The 24,488-nt window shown below is 46.5% G+C and overlaps 1 protein-coding gene across 9 annotated transcripts in view, besides 3 other annotated features; it reads left to right on the top strand.

Moving 5' to 3' along the window:
* Positions 1 to 10,044, top strand: part of PTCH1 (patched 1) — a 73,992-nt gene extending 63,948 nt beyond the window's left edge. For all 9 annotated transcript variants that reach the window (NR_149061.2, NM_001083603.3, NM_001083602.3 and 6 more), the window contains 4 exons: positions 3,084 to 3,183; positions 3,701 to 3,955; positions 5,573 to 6,113; positions 6,633 to 10,044. Coding sequence is in view for 8 of the 9 variants with exons in the window: in NM_001083603.3 (NP_001077072.1) it covers positions 3,084 to 3,183; positions 3,701 to 3,955; positions 5,573 to 6,112 (895 nt within the window). In the remaining variant the exon portion in view is untranslated. The remainder of the gene's footprint in view (positions 1 to 3,083; positions 3,184 to 3,700; positions 3,956 to 5,572; positions 6,114 to 6,632) is intronic.
* Positions 4,493 to 5,477: an enhancer, noted in NCBI's record as "NANOG-H3K27ac-H3K4me1 hESC enhancer chr9:98209829-98210813 (GRCh37/hg19 assembly coordinates)". NCBI's record gives its function as "activates a minimal SCP1, AML or CMV promoter by ChIP-STARR-seq in naive H9 embryonic stem cells {active_cell/tissue: H9 hESC(naive)}" and the evidence as "EXISTENCE:reporter gene assay evidence [ECO:0000049][PMID:30033119]".
* Positions 18,049 to 18,620: an enhancer, noted in NCBI's record as "H3K27ac-H3K4me1 hESC enhancer chr9:98196686-98197257 (GRCh37/hg19 assembly coordinates)". NCBI's record gives its function as "activates a minimal SCP1, AML or CMV promoter by ChIP-STARR-seq in naive and primed H9 embryonic stem cells {active_cell/tissue: H9 hESC(naive and primed)}" and the evidence as "EXISTENCE:reporter gene assay evidence [ECO:0000049][PMID:30033119]".
* Positions 18,621 to 19,193: an enhancer, noted in NCBI's record as "H3K27ac-H3K4me1 hESC enhancer chr9:98196113-98196685 (GRCh37/hg19 assembly coordinates)". NCBI's record gives its function as "activates a minimal SCP1, AML or CMV promoter by ChIP-STARR-seq in primed H9 embryonic stem cells {active_cell/tissue: H9 hESC(primed)}" and the evidence as "EXISTENCE:reporter gene assay evidence [ECO:0000049][PMID:30033119]".

Raw genomic sequence — 24,488 nt, 5'->3', positions numbered from 1 at the left:
GAGGTATAAAGACAAGCTCTCTTCTAGAGCTGTCTTGGGGAGTATCTTGAAAACAGAAGGTAAAGGATTTGGGGCTGGCAGCAAAGACAACTCTGCAGCTTGAAGCCAAAGGATCACCCAATAGGTGGCCCATTATTGTCTCGGGTTAGAAACACTGCAGAAAGAAATGCCACATTTGACCTACGCTCCCTCTCCTTCAAACTGTAGAAAGGAAAACTTAAAAATACCTAAAATTGTCACCTGACTTTATTCTTTTAAGAAGTGAAAATGACGTGCTCAGATTTCATATTCGAGTCCCCACAATTAGGAAGCATTTAGCATTGGACTTTGGTGTCAACTCTTGGGAATCTAAGCCTAGTTTGGATCTCAAGGCAAGTCGTTTCCAGTTGATTTAATTAAGAATATGACTTTGTGAAATATAAAAGAACAGTGAGTTTTCCTTTTGAAAAGAATTTGAGAACTGCAGAGGAGGAAACCACTTGCTTCTTTGAGCAGCCTCCATGGCTTTGTGAGGGACCTGCTCTTGGATAGAACTCTGCTACTTTATGGAGCTCTAAGGCCAGAATCACCAATAAGTAAAAGATAGTCCAGGATTAGAACCATGACAGGGCAGAACCAGATGTGAGAAATGATTGGTTTGTTTGGCACGCTTCAGTACTGAGAGGTTGTGTGTGTGTGTGTGTGTGTGTGTGTGTCAGAGAGAGAGATACGCTTCTTATCTTCAAGTAAAAAGAAGAGGGTTTCAACTAGAAGTTTTAGCCAAAGTTTTATTACGGGAAAGAGATGAGTCCATTGGTTGGCCTGTGGCATAGCCCACTGGGCAATTTGGCATCATGGAGGCCGCCTTCTTAGAATGAGTGCCAAGCTTGCTTATTGTAGTTTTTGCATAGAGTGAATGGTGAAGTGGAATCGCTGTAGACCAGCGCTTCTCACACCGATGTGCTGAGGAATCATCTGAGGGTCTAAGTGCAGGGCCGATTTCGGGGGGCGGGAGGTGGGATGAGGGCTGGGTCTGCATCTCCAGCTACCTCCCTGCAATGTCCATGGAGCTAGACTTCTCAGCACAAACTACTGCTAAGCCAGCAAGCCAGTTCCTAAATTCCTGTTTGCCAATACCAAGTAGAGAGTTGCCCAACTGAGTTAAATGTTTTGGTCTGTGTTTTATTTTAGTTCTTAGTTTGATTTTAGCTTTTCCTTTGTTCTTAGTATACACTTTTTCAGGCACTAACGTTATCATTATGATATAAAAGCTCAATGTCAAGTAGAGTTTCTTTTGCATATTTACTTTCTCGTTTAACACAAATATAACAAGCACCCCATAAGTGCCATTTGCACAACAGCAAATAATGGGGACCCCCATATCCCTCTGTGTAGCCTAAGGTCTTTTAGGGGAGAGACAAGTTCACAGGCAAAACCAGGGGAAATGCAAGGTGTGCTGGGGTCTCATGAGTTACAGGAGGGTCTCGCTCAGCCTTGTGGGGGATGCTGAATGAGGAAACTTAGCCTGAATTAGAGCCCCCAGCTGGAAACCTGGCAGCTGGAATCCCAGCGCTCTCCTCTCAGCCGGGGTTGTTCCCGCCCAGAAATATCAGGGTTCCTCTTTCAAGCACTTAAAAGGGCTTCCCATTTTCTAGGATGGGATGGATTAACCTGATAAAGGCCTCACCAAGGTCAAATAAATGAGCAGACACTGTATATGCTAAGCCGTCAGAAATCTAATTGGCCTGTTTATGCTTCAGCTAGATGGATGGGATGCAAATGTCTTAATGTGGCTGCTGATACATGCCCCAGCCGAAAGTTCCAGCAGTTTACATTAGACCAAGACATTGGCTGCTTGGTTTTTACTAATGTAGTTCAGAAGTTTCTAGTGTTTACAATAGCTGTGAGGTATTTGTATTTTTATGGGGATTCTCTCTCCTTTCATCTGATGTCAAAACATATATAGACATGGCAGCACTGGTTGCCTGTTCCATTTTATGAACCAGAGGACCATTAACAGATAGATATCTTGCCCCCCCCTTCCCAGAACATCCTGAGCCTCTCCCCTACCCCAGCCCACTTCCATCAGAGTTGCCCTAGAAATCATTAGTTCCAGAAACGCATCCCTGCGTGGAGTCTGTGCCCTCCAGCCATGCAGAGTGTCTGCCAGAGGCTGTCCCTGGCTGACAGGTTTACCTTGGTATTCATGAAGGATTCCAGACCTTAGCCCTCAATGGTGGGAAAGCAGAACTACTTCTGCACTCTCCTCCTCTGCCATGGTGCTGCGGCCTTTATGTTTGAATTGGCTGACGCAAAACAAGAGTATTCAGAGATGCTAAATTGTTCAACAAAAGATTGGCCCGCAGAGCAGCCCCGCCATTGTGGAGTGCCCTCACCCAGCACAATGCCCCAGCTCCCACAGAATGGGCAGCATTTTCTTTGCAGAAAGCTGGTTCCTGTGTTCTAAAAAGGTTGCAATTGGAGCTATTTGGTAAAACTGGAACTCACAGAATTCTAGGCAGAAAGTTGTGATTAATGAAAGGCCAGGGAAAGCCTTACCTGATATGCTAGAGACTTAATTAGAGATTCTGCCGTAAGATGCAGAAGCATTTCACAGTGGATTAGCAGCCTGCAGAAGTGGGCTGCTTTTCCTCCTGGGCTAAATTGTTTAAATTCTACACCCTTCACTTCATTTGTTTGCTTCTGCTGGGTTTTCACGAGCGGGGCCCCTCGGCATTGTGTTTGTGCTTTCAGTCTGCCCAGCCATTCAGGTCGCATTCCATATTTTTGTGTTTGTGTAACACATTCATAAATAACATTACATGCCATCAGAGTTCAGCAAATTAACAAACTAATTTTTTTTTTCTTCCCTTCATGAACTAACACTTTGGGTTGTGGAATGTAGTCCTCAAAGTCATAAGGTAAAGAAACAAAAAGCAAAAACTCACCTTGTGTTGAATGTGAACTGCGGTTGGATAACAGCCTTTTCAGTGGGGTGGGTTTTGTTCATTTCTGGCGTTGCCATGCTGCTGTGTCGGGCACACGGAGGGTGGCGCGATCCACCCTGTCACAGCGCGTGTTCCCGTTTCCTCTTGATCTCCCAGGTATTTCTTTGCTGTGCTGGCGATCCTCACCATCCTCGGCGTTCTCAATGGGCTGGTTTTGCTTCCCGTGCTTTTGTCTTTCTTTGGACCATATCCTGAGGTCAGTAGTGACACGGGGATGTCCCACGTGTAGGCCGGCTGAATGCTGTGTTTCCTGTGCCGCTCTTCACTTCGATACTTAGGTGCCTCCCCACTTGCTGGTGGTTCTTCAGTAAACATCTCAGAGTCATGTCTGTTTTCCTCTTCGGTGTACTGGCTTTGAGGGCTAGAGGGCGGGTTCGGTTTGGTTCCTCTAAATCAACTGATTGGCAGCCTGGGTCTTACAGATCTTTATACAGTAAATGAAGACTTTCCCCTTGAGATGCATAATTGGACTTCACAAGAGTAAAAAGTACACATCCTGCCTTTCCAGTGTGGAGCAGAGGACAGTTCTTCTGCTCCAGCTGCGGGACCTGAAGGTCCTCCAGGTGGTAGAGAAGGGGAGGTTAATACGGCACAGTGCGCAGGGCCCCAGGGCAGGGAACAGAGGCCCCTGAAAAATACCGTGCTTTGAGCTTTGAGTGTGGCCAGCAGGTAAATGGACAAGAACACTTTTAACATGGAATCCCCTTAAATAGGTGTCTCCAGCCAACGGCTTGAACCGCCTGCCCACACCCTCCCCTGAGCCACCCCCCAGCGTGGTCCGCTTCGCCATGCCGCCCGGCCACACGCACAGCGGGTCTGATTCCTCCGACTCGGAGTATAGTTCCCAGACGACAGTGTCAGGCCTCAGCGAGGAGCTTCGGCACTACGAGGCCCAGCAGGGCGCGGGAGGCCCTGCCCACCAAGTGATCGTGGAAGCCACAGAAAACCCCGTCTTCGCCCACTCCACTGTAAGTGACTCTGCAGAACCAGGGGGAGGGGTCTTCCCACCGTGGTAGTGGGCCTGGAGGTCCAGCGGGGGCTCCTGTCTGCTGAGCAGCACATCACACAGGCAGATGGGATGCAGAGATAAGGTACAGACTAGGTCAAATCATAGGAAATAACCAGTATTTAACTCTTTCTCAACTATACAAATGCCATCTTCCTGTGGTTTGATCTCATAAAGGATAAAAAGGGCAGGGGCCAGTAATGTCACTGCACAAAGCAGTAGCATCTATCTTGTTCAGGGTGAGGACAGTTTGGGCTTCAAAGGCCAGAGATAAAGCATTCCTGCCTTTTTTTTTTTTTTCCTCTTAAGGTGCATGTCATTTGAGAGTGATATTTTCTAAAACTAGTAGTATTTTTATTGCCAACAGAGGTCAGGTTTTTTCCTTCTCTCATTTCTGTTAGGTTTCAATGCCCTTGATACAACATTCATTATTATTGTCTAAATACTTTACCATAGCTTTTGGGGCTCCAAGCTCATGTTCCAGGTGGCAGGAAAGAGCAGAGAGGCCAAGAACCACCCCTGAGTTCTTAGCCTTCAGTGATTCAGGAGGTCACCAGGAGCCTGGGAGCCCCTCCTCGGAGGCTCCAAGGACCTGGGTCCTTTCCTCCACCCTGTGCTCCCTGGGATGGGCTCAGCCCTGAAAACTCAAGGAAGGTTCTGGGCTGATGTTGCTCCACTGAGGGCCCCCTGCTGTCCCTCCAGGAAATGGGTATTCCAGTCCCAGGCCAGAGCAGCCCTTCCGTGAAAGAGAGAAAGGCCAACCAAATAACCTGAATTGTCCTCCTCCTACCCCCCGCGACGACGCCCGCTGAGCTGCAGTGTGAATCTGGTTTTGTTCAGCAGGAGCCTAAAAATAGGTACAAGCTGAACGACTTTGAAGTTGGTCACGGTCCTTTTGATTGATGTGGCCACTGTGTTGCTCTGTGCTTTGTATAGAGACGCAGAGACCAGATTCTTAACAATCAGATGGAACAGGCTGCCCGCCACAGCCCTCCGCAGTGACGAAAATGCCCTCTCTGCTTTCCAGGATGGGAGCCACCGGCCACACGTGGCTGTGGAGCACTTGAAATGTGGCCGGGGCTACCGAGGAGCTGGATTTTGGATTTTAGTTCATTAAAACTTAAGCAACCACATGTCTGGAGCGGCTACTGTGTTTGACAGAGTAGGCAGAGACAGTCCTGCCAGCGTCCTGCACTCAGGCCAGCCAGGGCCGCACACTTAGCAACTTCGGGAGAGGGGCAGCTCAGAGCCTGCAGAACCTAACAGGGTCGGGGGCAGGTTGTGGGGGGCAGCAGCTTGGATGCTCTGACCACAGCCCACATTTATGGGCAGCAGCAGTACGTGTCCAGCCAGCCGTGTCAGAGAAAGCCTGGAAACAGGATTTTCAAACAACACGCTCCTCCGCCAGGTCCTGGAGGTTATTAGAAGGACAGGCTTTTCTTTTGTGGGTGGAAGGCCCCCATTGGCTCCCCAGGGTTGACTGAGTCTTTGGTGAAACCCAAGGAGGGAAGTGTGGGAGCTGCGGGGACCATGCCCAGCCTGGGATACCACCCTTCTAACCCACCCTCACCCTCTGCAGGTGGTCCATCCCGAATCCAGGCATCACCCACCCTCGAACCCGAGACAGCAGCCCCACCTGGACTCAGGGTCCCTGCCTCCCGGACGGCAAGGCCAGCAGCCCCGCAGGGACCCCCCCAGAGAAGGCTTGTGGCCACCCCCCTACAGACCGCGCAGAGACGCTTTTGAAATTTCTACTGAAGGGCATTCTGGCCCTAGCAATAGGGCCCGCTGGGGCCCTCGCGGGGCCCGTTCTCACAACCCTCGGAACCCAGCGTCCACTGCCATGGGCAGCTCCGTGCCCGGCTACTGCCAGCCCATCACCACTGTGACGGCTTCTGCCTCCGTGACTGTCGCCGTGCACCCGCCGCCTGTCCCTGGGCCTGGGCGGAACCCCCGAGGGGGACTCTGCCCAGGCTACCCTGAGACTGACCACGGCCTGTTTGAGGACCCCCACGTGCCTTTCCACGTCCGGTGTGAGAGGAGGGATTCGAAGGTGGAAGTCATTGAGCTGCAGGACGTGGAATGCGAGGAGAGGCCCCGGGGAAGCAGCTCCAACTGAGGTGAGTGCCACTGACAAGGGCAGCCAAGGGACCTAGAGCCAGGCAAAGAGGAGGACAAGGTTCTCCTGGGGTTCTCGGCATCCCCGAGGGGCTGTGGCGCTCGGGCACATCCCACGCTGGACCCCAGTGACCTTTTATCCCCAGAGCAAGGCTGATGTGTCCAAGCTTTGTCATCCTTGGGGAACCAGTCCAGCTCCACACTGCTCTCTTCCCCCACTGCTAACCTGCGGAGGGTCGGTGCAGCGCCACAAGGACACAAACAGCACCACCTTTTACCAATATTTGCCAGTCTTTATGGAGGTGCATGCCACAGCGAATTGGTCACATGGGAACGCATCCGTGTAACCAGCCCCCAGATGAAGGGAGAGGTCACAAGCAGCCCCCAGGGACACCTCAGGCCCACACCCCACTCTCGTGATTTCTAATACCAAGGTTACTGCTGCCTGCTTTTGTACTTTATAAATACGGACTTGCACACCTCTTACTCTGTTCAACTTCCTTTTTTGCTTCCTTTTAAAGGGTGATTAAAATCTGAAGCAAAGAGGCCAAAGATTGGAAACCCCCCACCCCCACCTCTTTCCAGAACTGCTTGAAGAGAACTGGTTGGAGTTATGGAAAAGATGCCCTGTGCCAGGACAGCAGTTCATTGTTACTGTAACCGATTGTATTATTTTGTTAAATATTTCTATAAATATTTAAGAGATGTACACATGTGTAATATAGGAAGGAAGGATGTAAAGTGGTATGATCTGGGGCTTCTCCACTCCTGCCCCAGAGTGTGGAGGCCACAGTGGGGCCTCTCCGTATTTGTGCATTGGGCTCCGTGCCACAACCAAGCTTCATTAGTCTTAAATTTCAGCATATGTTGCTGCTGCTTAAATATTGTATAATTTACTTGTATAATTCTATGCAAATATTGCTTATGTAATAGGATTATTTTGTAAAGGTTTCTGTTTAAAATATTTTAAATTTGCATATCACAACCCTGTGGTAGTATGAAATGTTACTGTTAACTTTCAAACACGCTATGCGTGATAATTTTTTTGTTTAATGAGCAGATATGAAGAAAGCACGTTAATCCTGGTGGCTTCTCTAGGTGTCGTTGTGTGCGGTCCTCTTGTTTGGCTGTGCGTGTGAACACGTGTGTGAGTTCACCATGTACTGTACTGTGATTTTTTTTTTGTCTTGTTTTGTTTCTCTACACTGTCTGTAACCTGTAGTAGGCTCTGACCTAGTCAGGCTGGAAGCGTCAGGATATCTTTTCTTCGTGCTGGTGAGGGCTGGCCCTAAACATCCACCTAATCCTTTCAAATCAGCCCGGCAAAAGCTAGACTCTCCTCGTGTCTACGGCATCTCTTATGATCATTGGCTGCCATCCAGGACCCCAATTTGTGCTTCAGGGGGATAATCTCCTTCTCTCGGATCATTGTGATGGATGCTGGAACCTCAGGGTATGGAGCTCACATCAGTTCATCATGGTGGGTGTTAGAGAATTCGGTGACATGCCTAGTGCTGAGCCTTGGCTGGGCCATGAGAGTCTGTATACTCTAAAAAGCATGCAGCATGGTGCCCCTCTTCTGACCAACACACACACGACCCCTCCCCCAACACCCCCAAATTCAAGAGTGGATGTGGCCCTGTCACAGGTAGAAAAACCTATTTAGTTAATTCTTTCTTGGCCCACAGTCTCCCAGAAATGATGTTTTGAGTCCCTATAGTTTAAACTCCCTCTCTTAAATGGAGCAGCTGGTTGAGGCTTTCTAGATCTGTTTGCATCTTCTTTAAAACTAAGTGGTGAGCATGCATTGTGGTGTAGAGGCAGGCATTATGTAGGATAAGAGCTCCGGGGGGATTCTTCATGCACCAGTGTTTAGGGTACGTGCTTCCTAAGTAAATCCAAACATTGTCTCCATCCTCCCCGTCATTAGTGCTCTTTCAATGTGATGTGGGAAAGCAGGAGGATGGACACACCCCACTGAAAGATGTAGGCAGGGGCAGGTCTCTCAACCAGGCATATTTTTAAAAGTTGCTTCTGTACTGGTTCTCTTCTTTTGCTCTGAGGTGTGGGCTCCCTCATCTCGTAACCAGAGACCAGCACATGTCAGGGAAGCACCCAGTGTCGGCTCCCCATCCAAATCCACACCAGCACCTTGTTACAGACAAGAAGTCAGAGGAAAGGGCGGGGTCCCTGCAGGGCTGAAGCCTAAGCTACTGTGAGGCGCTCACGAGTGGCAGCTCCTGTTACTCCCTTTTAAATTACCTGGGAAATCTTAACAGAAAGGTAATGGGCCCCCAGAAATACCCACAGCATAGTGACCTCAGACCCTGATACTCACCACAAAACTTTTAAGATGCTGATTGGGAGCCGCTTGTGGCTGCTGGGTGTGTGTGTGTGTGTGTGCGTGCGTGCGTGTGTGTGTGTCTCTGCTGGGGACCCTGGCCACCCCCCTGCTGCTGTCTTGGTGCCTGTCACCCACATGGTCTGCCATCCTAACACCCAGCTCTGCTCAGAAAACGTCCTGCGTGGAGGAGGGATGATGCAGAATTCTGAAGTCGACTTCCCTCTGGCTCCTGGCGTGCCCTCGCTCCCTTCCTGAGCCCAGCTCGTGTTGCGCCGGAGGCTGCGCGGCCCCTGATTTCTGCATGGTGTAGAACTTTCTCCAATAGTCACATTGGCAAAGGGAGAACTGGGGTGGGCGGGGGGTGGGGCTGGCAGGGAATTAGAATTTCTCTCTCTCTTTTAATAGTTTTATTTTGTCTGTCCTGTTTGTTCATTTGGATGTTTTAATTTTTAAAAAAAAAAAAACTTTGCTGATATTTATAATTTTGTATCATAAGAATGTTTTCCTCTACAGTATTTGTCATGCCAGTTTATAACAAAAAAAAATGCAGGGATTTTATTTCTATTGGAAACATTACAGCTATGTTTTACTTTTGGACAGAATTTTTATTTGTATAGAGTGCTTACTAATGTTAAATAGTTCAGAGTATATAACATTTACATTAAGGACTCATGGTAGGTTTTAGGGTAAGGAGTTTAAAGGAAATAAATATTCAAACTGGGTCTCATTGCCAATTTTGGTGGAAATGAGTTTGTGTCATTTCAATTACAAAGATAAAAGTATGCCATATAATTTATTTATATGAAGATTTATTTTTGTAGTGTACATAGTAGTCATCAAGTCTTTTGACAGAAGTATATTTTTAAAGAATTTATATGTGATGAATCCATAATGTCTGGAACTTTGCTGAGACATGAGTGGGCACAGTTTTCATTGTAAATTACAGCAAGGAAAGAAAATGTTTAACAGTGTTAAGAGAGTCAGAGCAGAGTGGATATTCATGCGATTATGAAGTGTTTATTAGTTACCATTGGCGACCTAGCATGCTTCTCATTTCAAACCTTGGAAGGTGAAAATGTACAAACTCTCTAAATAATTAATGTTCAAACACTGATAGAAATTCTAACATGAATAAAAAATAATATAACTTGTTGGTTATATCTTTGTTTGTAGAATGCTTTTTTTCTTTAAAATACTTGGGAGAGACAGTTAGTGTTGGAGCCATCAGAAACTGTTGTTTCATCTTGCTGACCTTGTGACACTCTTCTTTTTTGCTCTATCTGATGGAGAGAGTTTTAGGTTTTCCTCCTTTTTGTTTTGTATAAATAGTGGGTATAAGCATAGCTCTGTTACATGGATGTATTACAAAGTGGGGGCTGAGCTTTTAGTGTGATCATCACCCAAATAGTGTACATTGTACCCATTAATTAATTTCTTATCACCTGACCCTATTTTTGTTTTCTCATACCAAGAAACTTCCTAAGTTAACCATCAAAATTAGTCCTTCTGTCATCTCTCTTAGCATACTTATTTCCCTTATGTGATGCCTAATAATGAGGGAACATAAATAAAGCCAAATTCAAAGATGATTATCATCAGTGAAGGTGTCATACTTCTAAACAGTGTCAAAGATAATATGGAATTGATTGAACCTGATACAGAACAGTTTTTGAGTGTTTCCTGGTAAGCAATGATTTCATCATAGGCATGGAGAAAAATATGGCCAGGAATATCATGTCCATGTTACAGCTGTGTAAGCAAGGAGTGGTGGGGCTGAACTCAAGGCCCACACTGCTGTGCACATGGGCAAGTTGCAGAGGGGTCAGTGAGCCACAGCCGGCTGGCCATGTCCTGTTGCACAGGTTCATGAGGAGAGAGTCGTGCCTGTTGCCGCACATGTTGTTGATGGCTGTTTTTCTGCTGCAACGGCAGAGTTCAGTAGCTGCAACACAGACTATGGTCTGCAGAGACTATGATATTTACTATCTGGCCGTAAGACACCTGCCAATCCATCTCTAGACAAGGTAACATAGGCCAGTGCTAGTCAAGTGTGGTCCACGAATCAGCCTGCCTTGGAAGCTTGCTAGAAAAACCGAATCCAACACCACCTAACTCAGAATCTTGGAGTGAGGTCCAGGAATCTGCTTTAACGATCTGTCCTGGTGGTTGTGATGCACCAGCGGAGGCGATCCCGAAATTCCAGCTGAGTGTGGCCAGGTTCTATCATTTGGCTTCGGCTCCTGGGCCAGTGCGGGCCGGATCTGGAAATGGCACAGAGATACCGACTCCACTGTGTGGTCCTTTCACAAAACACATGCTCCTCTGTGGGTGAGCCCAGGCCAGGAGCTTGACTGTTACGTCTGGGAGTCCAGAGTGAGGAACTCCCTTCTTAGTGCTCACCCCACAGTGAGGGAGGACCTGGAAGGAGAGTGTGGGCCCCTTTCCTAGAGGGGAGGGGGAGCCACGCCGGGCCCTTCCACGGAGAGGGCTCCCTGTCACCCACTTGACTGGCTTGGGCAAGTCTCTTAAAACCCCAGAGCCTGTGTGTCCTCATCTGTAAATTAAAGAGATAAATATCCCTTGAAAACTTCTGAAGGGTGGCAGCAGTGATGCTGGTGACGAGGTCTGGATCTCAGGGGCTGGCCGGAGTCGTCTGAGTGAGAATTGGACAGCCCCATCCTGAGGACCCCACTCCAAACCCCAGTTCAATCACCAGCTCTGCCTCAGGGTTCCCATCTTGAAGATGACAAGGGCTCCCCATAGAAACAATGGGCGCTGCTATGGGAATAGTTCATGTTTACTGAGCCCCTCTTGGGAGGCATTTGAGGTAGCACAGTAAATTCTGACCAAGGAATAAGATGTTCAGGTAATACACTGTCCTCCTTAATACTACACATAACAGCTAATTTGGCTCATTTAAGCCACAGAGAATATGTTCTCCCTGAATCTGAGTACGGGAAATAGTAATTGCATTAATTGGAATTCAGATTGGGACATGCTTTCCCCAAGACACGTTTAATACCACCAAAATGACCATTTGCTACCATCCAATTTTATATTCCTTATAAATGACACATAGCTAACTAGCTAACTTAGTTTTTAACCATGTTGGCCTAGGGAGAAGTTTTTAATCAGATTTGTGTCCCCAAATCCACCATATTTATTCAGGACTTAGGTCAACACAGAGCTCCATTTTTTTTTTGGCACAACAGATGTATGTAACAGCTTTGTGAAAGCTGCGTCCTGCTACGTTTCGGCAGCAGCACGTTGATGTAAAGGCAGGTGTTTCATTTTTGATAACTGGTAACCGACCTCCCAAAAGGAGAAGTGGAGATGGTCTATTAATCATCCGAGATGAGTATTTGCCAAGTTTTAATTACTTTTAATGAAGGCTGCGCATAATGAGAACATGCCTTGAACATGAATCTGTTTCATCCTTTGCACTGTCGTGACGGAGGGCATGTCAGGTACCATTTTCTGCAAGGGTTCCCTGCCAGGAAATTCCAACGACTGCCACCATAAGGATCTGGAAGGGATATTCTGGCGTGTCAGGAACACGCTGGGCCTCAGGAAGGATGAACTATAGAGATGACCCAAATCAAACTTGGTGCACATGGGAAGCACATACAGAAAGCGTGCACTTTCTACACCATGAGGTGGCATGTGTATCATAGATTCCTGCCCGCTCTCAGGGAGGTCCCTTTTCAGGGAGGCAAAAGGAACAGGGCCCTTCAGGTGAGAGGCTGTAGAGAGAACCAATTTTGTCAAGACAGTGTTTGCCCTGAGAATGAGTCGTCCCTCTGCAAGCAGTGCCACCCTGCAGAGACAGCCACAGCCACATCCACAGTGGTAGCACCATCACGCAAGCAGGTCTCACAGGTGACCCTGGAACAGCATGGGTTTGCAGTACATGGGTCTACTTATACATGCATTTTCTTCCCCCTCTGCCAATCCTGAGACAGCAAGACCAACTCCTCTGCCTTCCCTCCTCCCCCTCCCTGTTTTTCTTCCTTCTCTCACTTTCCTCCTCCTCCTCTTCTCCCTCCTCCCCCCTTCTCCCTCCTCCCCCCTTCTCCCTCCTTCCCCTCCCCCTCCTCCACCTACTCAACATGGAGACAACGAGGATGAAGACCTTTGTGATGCTCCACTTCCACCTAATGAATAGTAAATATGTTTTATCACCTCCTTATGAGTTTCTTCATAACATTTTCTTTTATCTAGTTTACTCTACTTTAAGAATAAGTATGTAATACATGTAATATACAAAGCGTGTGTTAGTCACCGTGTTATGGGTAAAGCTTCAGGTCAGCAGTAGGCTACCCGTCTTTGAGTAGCGTTGGTCTTTGAGTCAGAAGTTATACATGAATTTCCAACTGCTAGGGGATCAGCACCTCTAATTCCCATGTTATTCAAGGGTCCACAGTGCATCCCACTTTCCTGGAGAGTGTTGTCTTAATTTTTCTGCTTCCCATCCACAGGGCTTGAGGCTGAAGATATAGGAATGTGATGTAAGCTACCAACAAGGCAAATTTCGTGTGCTTGCTTTCAAAGAAGAAAGCAAGCACACGAAATACCTAAGTCAACACACCATCTCTCAGGATAAACACTCTCTTGACAAAATTATTTCTCTCTACAACCTCTCACCAGAAGGGCCCTGTTCCTTTTGCCCCCGCAAAAGGGAATTTCCACAGAGTAGGCAGGAACCAGTGATAATAACACCACCTCGAGATGCAGAAAGGACAACAGCTTGTATTGTTATGGAGAGGGGGAAGGTAGATAATAACCTGTTATACTCTTATAAGGAAAAAAATCCTGTAGTGGGAGAGGGATTGATGAGCAAGTTCTAACTGGTGAGTTATTATGTAATAATGAGGAGTGCAGCATGAAGCCCAAGTCAAGATGCCAAAGAACCCTCTTGGTAATTATAGACCTCCATCAGCAGCAGTGGTCGGTGGACTTGTGTTGAGAGCCTATTTTGCAGTAAGAGGAGAGGAGAAGCAAGACAAGGCAGGAATGGAGACCACCAGCAGGCTCTCTGCTGCGGTTTAAGAGTGAGAGCAGAACTATCCGTCGGTGAGGACTGGGTCAGACATCCAGAAAGTGAGGCCAATACTGGGGAAAAGACCAACCTACCACCAAAATTAGGAAAAGGCCATTGAAATTAGGGAAGAGGTATGAAAAATGATAAAATGGAAGGGTGCCAAGAAACAAAGACCTTCTCCTTCAAAAAAAATCCATGGACTGCAAGAGCAGTGGCCAGCCCCAATCCTTGTATTGTGACCGTGCCGTGTCGACAGGCATACTCGGCCCTTTTGTCAATAGATGCTTTTGCTTTTCCCACACAGCTTCCACTTACATGGCGGCATGGTAGGTTACCATGAATCATAGAAGCTCGTCATGAATCATGGAAGCTCGTCATGAATAAGCTGTAAGAGACCTTTGCCATCTTGTATCCAGGAAGCCTGGAGAAGTGATATGACATGTCCAGTGTTAGCCAACAGCCCCAGCCCTTGGGTCAGCTTGAGAACCTGGATCTCTGGAGTCCAGTCCTATGTTTTTCTCTCTTAGTGTCCTCATCTTTTTCCCTGTTTGTTTCATGTTGCTAATTCCAATATTATGGTGACTGCTGTCTACACAACGACTCTAGCAAGAGTTTCCAAGCCTCTCAGCCATCCTTGTGTGTGTGCAGCATCATGCAGATGGTATATGTTTGCTCTAAAGGCAAACAGCTGCAGTGGAGGAAGCAATTAGCAAATTTCTGAATTATCCTTCTGATTCCACTTAAATTCCAAAAGCTAATTGGCCAAAATGTTCCTCCTTAATTAGAAGCAATTAATATGTGAAACCAGGTTTGCATTTCACAAGAGAGTGTGCATTTCACAATTGAAATTGCATAGTTCATTTACCAATGGTCTCTAATGGTCTGTAATCATAAGGCACACACAATTAAGGTGGGATTTTCAAAGTGTAAGTACGGAAGGAAGCCTGAATATATGAATTATTCTTCTGCTGCTGAGAATCCACTTTGGGCTGTAAAGTATCCACTTTGGGCTGTAAAACATACTTCATGCATGCACACGGTTGCCCAAACACATCCACATGCATAGGCAGTCCTGACCTGTCACCTTTGACCCCTTCTGAATTCCCTCCTCTCTACTCTCGCTCCCTCTCCCTAAGGCTTGTCCTCTCTCCCTGACTCCACCAAGACACTCCCCCTCAGCAGCAATGCCAATAGAAATCTGTCCATGATAAAAACACTGATGGTTGGACCCCATCTTGGGTAGCAGTAATACCGATAACCAAAGCCACCGTTTCCTGCTTAATATGTGCCATGCTATAGCTTCTCTCACTAGATGAACCCAATAAATAAGATGTTGGCAGAGACTAGAAATGAGCAGGAAAGAGCGCGAAGATGCAGGAGGAAATACAAAAGATGAGAAAGACATGGGGCAGGGCAGCGAGGATGAGAAATAAAGAATTATGGAGGTGAACTCAGAAGAACAGAGGAAAGGGCCACACTTGAGTTAGAAGAAGTCAGAAGAATTGAGGCAAGGGCAGGCATTTCTCACTACACCACCCAAGTGATTTTAATGAGAAAGGCGGTGTTCTAAAGTGAAAGTAGAAAGATGGATCATTAAAAAGCAGCGTCTTTGTTTTATGTACTGATGTTTTCCACTATTTCCTTTTCATTGTCCAAAATCAGAGCATGATAGATGTGTTTAGAGTAGGGTCCACAAACTATAGCCCACAGGCCAAATCTGGACCCAACTTGTTTTGGTAAATAAAGTTTGCGCAACACAGCTCTGCCTATTTATTTATGTCTCGTCTAGGCCTGCTTTTGAGCTATAATGGCAGAGTTAAGTGATTGCAACAGAAACCGCATGGCCTATAAAGCCTAAAACATTTGCTATCAAGTCCTTTAAAGAAAGAGTTTGCCATCCCTGATCTGGAGCGTGGTATCTCCACATCAAACCAAATAGGCACTTTTAGCCACTGTACAGACAGGCGCTGCTATTTCTTGATATTCCTCAAACATACCAGGCACTGTTCGGCCTCAGGGCATGCACTTATTCTTTCCTGCACCTGTAATATCAGTCTCCCAGACAGACACGTGGTTCATTCCCTTATGAAATTCAGGTCTTTGTAGAAATATCATCTTTTCATTGGGACCCTGCCTGACCACCCAGTTTAAAGTTGCAAATCCAGGGAGGGCGCACCTGTAATCCCAGCACTTTGGGAGGCCAAGGCGGGTGGATCACGAGGTCAGGAGATCGAGACCATCCTGGCTAACACGGTGAAACCCCATCTCTACCAAAAATACAAAAAATTAGCCAGGCATTGTGGCAGGTGCCTGTAGTCCCAGCTACTCGGGAGGCTGAGGCAGGAGAATGGCGTGAACCCGGGAGGCAGAGCTTGCATTGAGCCGAGATCGCGCCACTGCACTACAGCCTGGGCGACAGAGCGAGACTTCTTCTCAAAAAAAAAAAAAAAAAAAGTTGCAAATCCAATCCCCACCCCACTCAACACATCCCCTCTTCCTTTACTACTTAATTTTCTCCACAGCATTTACCAGTATCTAACATCCTTTATATTTTGCCAATGTATTTGTTTCTCTTTCTTATGCTGCTAGAATAATGTCAGCTCTTGGAAGACAGGGATTTTTTACTATTGTATCCACTACTTATTCCCAAAATCTAGAAGAGAGCCTGGAACATAGTACTCTCAGTTTAGGACAGTATTTGTTATTTTTAAAAATGAGCCCTACAATGCATCTGCAGTATTATTCCTATTTCACAGATGAGAAAGCTAAATTCTATGAGGTTAAATGACTTCCCAGAGATCGCAGTGCTAGTAAGGGGGAAAGGCAGCCATGGATTCCTGAGTTTGCAGGCTAAAGGATCGCGATGGGAACGGTTTCCAGAGCTACTGGTTTCTTCCACTGCTTGCTCATGCTGAAGCTAGCTCAGAGCATAGCACCCTGCCTAGCCCCAGGCACCATGCTAAGTTCTGTGCAGGCTAAAATGATGAATATGACAGTTCCTGACAAAAAGAACCTTAAACTTCTTTAAGTTTCAGTATCGAACTCCTGGGCTCAAGTGATCCTCCTGCCTCGGCCTCCCAAAGTGTTGGGATTACAGGAGTGAGCCACCACGCCCAGCCTACGATGCATTATTTTTAAGAAGGAGTATATTAGGTACAATGAGGCTCAAAGGGATGGATAGATCAGAAAAGATGTCCTGGAAGACGTGGCATTTGAATTTGGCCTTGAAAGCTAGGATTTCAGCAGATAGAAATTGTGGGAAGGGCATTATCAAAAGGAAGGAAGAGCTTGAGCTGAGTCCCAGAGGTTAAGACAGTAGAGGTGGCGTGGCGCGGTGGCTTGCTCCTGTAATCCCAGCACTTTGGGACCGAGGCAGGTGGATCACCTAAGGTCAGGAGTTTGAGGCCAGCCTGATCAACATGGTGAAACCCCGTCTCTACTAAAATACAAAAATTAGCCAGGCATGGTGGCACGCACCTCTAATCCCTGCTACTTGGGAGGCTGAGACAGGAGAATCGCTTGAACCTCGGAGATGGAGGTTGCAGTGAGCCGAGATCGTACCACTGCACTCCAGCTTGAGTGACAGAGAGAGACTTTGTCTCAATAAAATAAAATAAAATAAAATAAAATAAAGTAGAGCTGTGTCTGAAAAACAAACAGCCCATTTTGCAGGAAGAGATGCCACCCATGAGCTGTGGTTCTGAGTGTGGTTCTAGGACTGACAGTTTCAGTGCCAAGTGAGAAATTGCTAGACATGCAAACACATAGGCCCCGTCCCAGCCCCACTAAGTCGGAATTTCTGGGTTGGAGGCCCAGAAATCTGGGTTTCAATTAGCCTTCCAGGAGATTCTTAATCTTCTGAAAGTTAAGAAGTGCCCATGTAAGGTGCACTGGAAGAAGGTGACATTGAATGCTAAACTGAAGACAATGGCCGTTATCTGTTTGCAAAGCAGTGACACCCTCTCGAAGACTGTTGAACAGATACGTGATTGTACTTGTGATTTAGAGCTCCACCAGATGGATGAGAAGTGCAGAAAGAGAACGTTGAAGTGGGAAGATCATAGAAACTTTTTATATTGGTTGCAAAATGGAAACAAAGAAGCAACCTGTTATTCTTCATAAACATGTTTCCCAACATCCACTCACTATTCAGGTCCCCATAACCTAATTTCCTTCTAGAAGAACCATCCCATTTCCCACTCTCAGTCTGTTTGGTTCAGACAGTGCTACCTTCATCGCAGGGTCCAGGGTTGTTCATGTGACTCAGACAGTCCAATAAGAGTATCACATTCTCTTGGCCAACGTTATTGGTTTGAGGATAAGAGCATGGACCAATCAGAATGTGTTACATGTTGTGAAGCTTTGTCTGAAACATAGAATGTGCTTTTCCATGGGTCTTTAATCTAAAAATCTGTAGCCTTAAGGGAATTGAGGGTGGGGGCCTTTTCTGAGAAAGGAGCGAATACAGCAGAAAACAGATTAAATGAAGGAAGAGGAAGAAGTCAACTCTGATTACATCATTTGAACCCCGGGTCAAGCTGTACCCAAAGCTAAATCTATTTCTGCTAAACTTTCCTTTCTAACAGGCCTTTGTGCTCAGGGCAATTGGAATGAGATTTTTTGTCTTGATTGACCCAAACTCAGTCATGGCTCTGGACTTCAGATAAGGGAGTCACAGACTCGTAAGATGTTTGCAGGCTTTGGACTATGATTCAGAGAAGAGAGGGAAAGTCAAGGGCAATTGACAGTGTTGCAGGATGGATTCCATGAGAAGCAGACTGTGAGAGGGAGCGTTGTGTGCGCGAAGAGCACACGGGGGTGGTCCCAAGTCAGCGCCTGTGGGGGAGTGAAGAAGCAGCACTGCGCAGTGGAGGAAGTCAAATTGTCATGCGGCTGAGGCTATGCGGAGCTGAGATGCCCTTTGGAGTTGGCTCAGGTTAGGGCAAGGAGGCCAGAGCCTCATGCCCTCACATTGACCCGTCATTGTATGCAGGTGGCCACCAGGAGACATGATCTTGGGCCACACGTTTCTCTTCCATACAGTGCAACTCTCAAAGAAGGATTCAACTGAGCCATCGGCCAGCGCACTCCCGCAGCCGGAGGACAGAGTGCTGAGTCAGGGTGTGGGTGGAGGGGCAGGGCGCTCAGGACCGCCAGGTTCCCAGCGGGGTGAGCAGCTGTGAGGAGACTGAGCCCTGCAGCTGGAATGAGGAAGTGGGAGGAGCAGATGGCATCAGAGAGAGGACAGATTTCGTTTTGAGCTGGTGGCATTTAAACGCTGGAGAAGGTGTCGACCTGGGATCAATGGGAATAGAAACCACGGTTGATGAACCCTGGCCCAAAGAGAGCGCAGACAGAGACAGTGGGGAGCTCAGAGCTCAGGGAGTGGAGGGAAGAAAATCTGGAGCCCATAGGCCGGGCGCGGTGGCTCACGCCTGTAATTCCAGCACTTTGGGAGGCCGAGGCTGGCGGATCACGAGGTCAGGAGATCCAGACCATCCTGGCTAACACGGTGAAACCCCGTCTCTACTAAAAATACAAAAAGAAATTAGCCGGGCGTGGTGGCAGGCGCCTGTAGTCCCAGCTACTTGGGAGGCTGAGGCAGGAGAATGGCGTGAACCTGGGAGGCGGAGCTTGCAGCGAGCAGTGCTCGAGCCACTGCACTCCAGCCTGGACGACAGAGAGAAAGAAAGAAAAGAGGAAGGAAGGAAGGAAGGAAGGAAGGGAAGGGGAAGGGAAGGAGGGAGGGTGGAAGGGAGGGAGGGAAGGGAGAAAATTTGGAGCCCATGAAGGGGAGGGAAGGAGTAGCTAAAGAGGCAGCAGAAACCAGGCCGTGTTGCCAGATGATAACAATATAAATAGCAAATGCTTATAGACTCTTGACTGTGTGCCAAACAGTATTTACTGTAGAACGTTGTTCTACATTCTTAGCTCGTATTATTTCTTCATAGGAAACAAAGGAGGTGACGGCCAGTGAGTGGGGTGGGTAATCTGCTGATGAGCAGTTAAATCAGGGAAGTTAAATTAGCAGTTAAATTAGGGAAGCATCTGGACTCTGCATGTAAGGTAGATATTTTAAAAGTCATCAAAAAGGAGTTTGTGTGTTTGCTGAAGAATTGTGTCCCCACTCTCTTCATTGCTGTTCTTTTAACAGCTTTATTGGGATATCATTCACATACCATACAATTCACCCATGTAAAGTATATTATAATTCAATCGTTTTTATATTCACAGAGTTGTGGAACCATCACCATAGGCAATCTTAGGACAATTTTGTTACCTTCAAAAGTAACTCCATACCCTTTAGCACTCACTCCCCCCCCACTCCCCCCCCACACCCCCCCCGCCCCGTCTGCCACAACCGGTGCCTGTTCACCTGTGCAACCCTAGGCAATCATGAATCTACTTTCTGCCCTGCTCTGGATGTTTCCTATGAATGCAGTCTTATAGTATGCAATCTCTTTGTGTCTGGTTTCTTTCACTTAGCATAATGTTTTTTCCAGTTTCATCCATGTGATAGCATAAATCAACACTTCATTCCTTTTTATGTCCAAATAATATTCCATTGTATGGCTATCCACATTTTGTTTATCTTTTATCAGTTGATGAACGTGTGGATGATGTCTGCCTTTTGACTATTATGAATAATGCTGCCGTGAACATTTGTGCACAGGTTTTTTCAAACACTTGTTTTCCATTTTCTTAGGTGTACACCTAGGAGTGGAGTTGCTGGGTCTCTGTTTGGCTTTTTAAGGAGCCACCAAACTCTTTTCTGCAGTGGCTGCACCATTTTATCTTATCACCAGCAGTGTAAGAGTGTTCTGATTTCCCCATGTCCTCACCAATATGTGTGATTATCTGAATGTTCATTCTAGCCATCCTAATAGGGATGAGGTAGCATCCCAATGTGATTTTTTGGGTTCCGTGTAGATTAGACTGAACTTCTTGCCCATGCTGACATTAAACTCACATGCAAAGAGATGGACACACACACATCTCACATGGGGAAACAAGCTCAGGGGGGCGAACCAGGGTAGTCCCTTGGGAACGTCCAGCTCTGAAAGAGGAGAGAGGCACACAGGAAGAATAGGAGTGCTTGGCATCTGAAAGCACAGGGCGAGAATAAAGCCAAGCACCGACCATCCTAAGGAATGACCCGACCCTTGACCTTCCACTTCAGCAGTGCGAAGATATTCTCCATTTTGTTTTTGAAGTGGCCATGGATTTAGTCCACCCCATGTTCCACCCCCGCCCATCACCACCTGTTCTGAGGGCTGGGGTGAGGAAGGAAGGAGCAGGATGGGTCCTTTGAGCCCAATTAACACACACATTTTGCTTCCAAAGCTTATTGTGCACCTTATGCCAAGATTTGAGTAGGACTCAACTTAACCAGTATATGTAAAAGTCTTCTTAGAACTTGGAGAAAACAGATGATGCATAATGCTGTGTCGCAGATTATTAAATAATACTAACAGGCAGATCAGGGGCAGGCTTCAGGAAGGGGTAAGCACAGCCTAGAAATTCAGAGGCAGGAAGGATCACTGTGGGCTGGCAGGGCCATTTTGATATTTCTGTGGCAGGAGGGACTGGTTTCTGAGATGACCTTTCTGGCAGGGCTGTAGTCACCTGCCAACCTAAGAATGAAAGTTTAGGAGAGGATGAGAGCAGAGATAGTGTCCAAAATAGATTTGACGTCTTTGCCAAGGACTGTGCTTTACATTTATTCTCTATGTAACTTTTAGAGCAGGCCTGTGTGCCAGACATGAAGTGCCAATTTGCAGTCGAAGAAGCTGAGGCTCAGAGAGGGTATCAGGTAGGGTTCAACCAGAGAAGCAGAGCCAATAGAAGAGATGAGAAATAGATAGACAGACAGACATATAGATGATAGATAGATAGATGATAGATAGATAGTTAGATAACAGATGATAGAAGATTGATAGATGATAGATAATAGATGATTGATAGATGATAGATGATAGATGACTGATAGACAACAGATAGATGATAGATGATTGATAGATGATATATAATAGATCATTGATAGATGATAGACTGATAGATGATAGATGATTGATAGACGATAGATAGACAGATAGATAGATAGATGAAAGATAGGTGATAGATAATAGAGGGATAGATAGATAGATAGATAGATAGATAGATAGATAGATAGATGATAGATAAATAGATAGATTAATTACCAAAAACACTGGCTTATGCAAGTCTGGGGTTGTCCTCAGGACAGACAGTCAGGAAGGGGAGATCATGAGCAGGCTGGAGCCCCATAGGCATGAGCTGAAGCCTCTTATTCATATACCATCTCTAAACATAGGAAAGCCTATACCTTATTTTAAAGGTCTTCAAACTGATTAGGTCAGGCTCACCTATAATAACCTCGTTTTTGATCAGCTTGAAGGGGATTGATCTGGGACTTTCATCACATCTGTAAAATACCTTCACAGCAGTACCCACATTAGTGCTTGAGGGAATACCTGGGAGAAGGTGCATGCATGCTACAAAATGGCCACTGCTTCCCTTCTATCCTCCAATTCTCCAAAAAGAAAATCTCTTGTAGCCCACCCTAACCAGAAACATACTCAAAAGAGAATGCTGGGGTCTGTAGCTGAGCCTAGCCCAGGCAACACATCAGAAGCTGTCACCATCACAGATCACAGACAGGTTAAGGAACTCTGTTGGTCAGGATTCCATTACAGGGAACAGATTTCACTCTCCCTAGTTTAAGCAAAAATATTTATTACAAGGTAATGAATGGTTTACAGAATTATTGAGAAGGCTGGAGGGAAAACTGTGGGATGAGCTTTCAGAAGCAATGCCAATACCACAGAGGCAGACCACCAAGAGGGTTTCTGCCTCTTTTAAGATCAAGAAGCCACCAGTCAAACTGGAAAGTCCTTGACAACTCCTGAACCAAGCCACCAAAACCATGCTTCCCAGGAGAAATACCAGTAACAACACAAAAATGGCCTCGTACTCATTTCTGCGTTCTGCTTTCTCTGACCACACCAAATGTGTAGGACCTAAACACTAGGTCCTAACCCCTAGCTGCAAGGGAGTCTGGAAAATGTTTTCAGTTTCTCATCTCTGAGATACAAGATGAATGGACATAGAGTACCAATCCACGGCAGTAATATACTCAAGATCCTTCTGCCATGAAGGAGCAAAGTCAGGATTCAAACCCAGGTCGTGCTCTTGACCCCCAGAGTGCACTTCATCCCACGATCTGGAATGGCCTTTCTTCCCTTGCCACATTGGGGGCTTGTCTCAGTCTGTTTGCACTGCTATAACAAAATACCACAAACTGGGTAGCTTCTAAACAAAGACATTCATTTCTCACGGTTCTGGAGGCTCAGAAGTCCAAGATCAAGGTGCCGGCAGGTTCAGTGTCTGGTGAGGGCCTGCTTCCTGACTCATAGATGGCCCCCTCTCAATGCACCTTTGTAAGGTGGATGGGGCAAGGCAGCTCTTCAGGGCCTCTTTTATGAGGGCACTAATCTCATTCATGAGGCCCTCCCAAAGGTCTTACCTCCCAATACCATCACACTGGTGATTAGGCTTAACATGTGATCTGGGGGGACACAACTCACATCATAGCAGGCCTCTTTCTTGCAAGTATTTCTGGTCTCTTCTAAGTATACATTTACTGGCTATATCCACAGTTTCCATTCTTGTCATCAGCTGCAGAATATTCTGAAACAGTCCATACGGGAGGAAATGAAAATGATCAGTTTTTGTCTCCAGCCCATCTGCATCACCTCAGGATTGGGAAGGCTGCAGTGTGTACAATCCACTTTTCTTCCCGAGCCAGCCATGTTAAAATGCTTCTGTTTATGGATGTCTACAAAGCAGTGACTGGGCAATTCAGTCCAGTGGTCTCAGGAACCCCTGGAAACGTAGGAGGCACTTGGAAAAAAACAAAACAAAATCTATGGCCATGATAATAGAAAGTACCTGTAGTGAAAACCCTGCCTTCCTCGGGTCTTTTCTTTGTGTCCTAGTCTATCAGCCCCACACCCCAAAATTCCTAAATAAGCCCCAGTGAACAAACTTGGGCAGCTTCTGGGCAGGCACATGAGTGCCGCAGCACGGCGTTCTCGAAGGAGCTGCGACAGCCATGGAGGGCCAGTTCCTGAATGAAGAAAGACCTGCATGAGTCAGTGATGCTCCTTCACACCGGGAGGAACCTGGAAATAAACAGTTTAAAGGCTCTCAAGGGAACCAAATTCACATTCCGGGCAAATGTCCCTGTATTAGTCAGTTCTCGCACTGCTATAAAGAACTATGTGAGACCGGGTAATTTAGGAAGAAAGAAAAACTTCTTTCTTCATAAAGAAAAACTTGACTCACTGTTCCACAGACTGAACAGGAGGCATGGCTGGGGAGGCCTCAGGAAACTTACGATCATGGTGGAAGGGGAGGCACATCTTCACATGGCTGGAGAAGGAGAAAGAAAGCAAAGGGGAAAGTGCCACACACTTTTAAAAACTAGATCTCATGAGAACCCACTACCATGAAAACGGCAAGGGAGAAATCTGTCCCCATGATCCAATCACCTCCCACCAGGCCCTTCCTCCAACATGGGGGATTACAGTTCAACATGAGATTTGGGCAGGGACACAGATCCAAACCATATCCATCCCTAATAGCAAAGTTTCAGGTACATGGTGCAGAACTCCAAAATTTATAAATCCAAACAAATGGATTTTTCCGACACAATTGTACAACTTCTTTGCAGGGAAGCATTCACACAGTAAACCTTTCTTTTAAGGAAATAACCTTTCCTCAGGTGGTTCATTATGTAAACACTGCACATTTGTATTCAACTGTATACACCTAAGGGTGGCATAGCAAAACCTGTGTACATATTTATTTGTGACAATTTATCTGGAAGATTAGAAAAATCCTTGTGGGTCTGCAGAGACCATATATTTACTGACACTGAAAAATGTTCATGACCTACTATCAATGAAAACG

Source organism: Homo sapiens, chromosome 9 (assembly GCF_000001405.40).
Source record: "Homo sapiens chromosome 9, GRCh38.p14 Primary Assembly".
NCBI lineage: Eukaryota > Metazoa > Chordata > Mammalia > Primates > Hominidae > Homo > Homo sapiens.
This window is presented reverse-complemented; position numbering and strand designations above follow the sequence as displayed.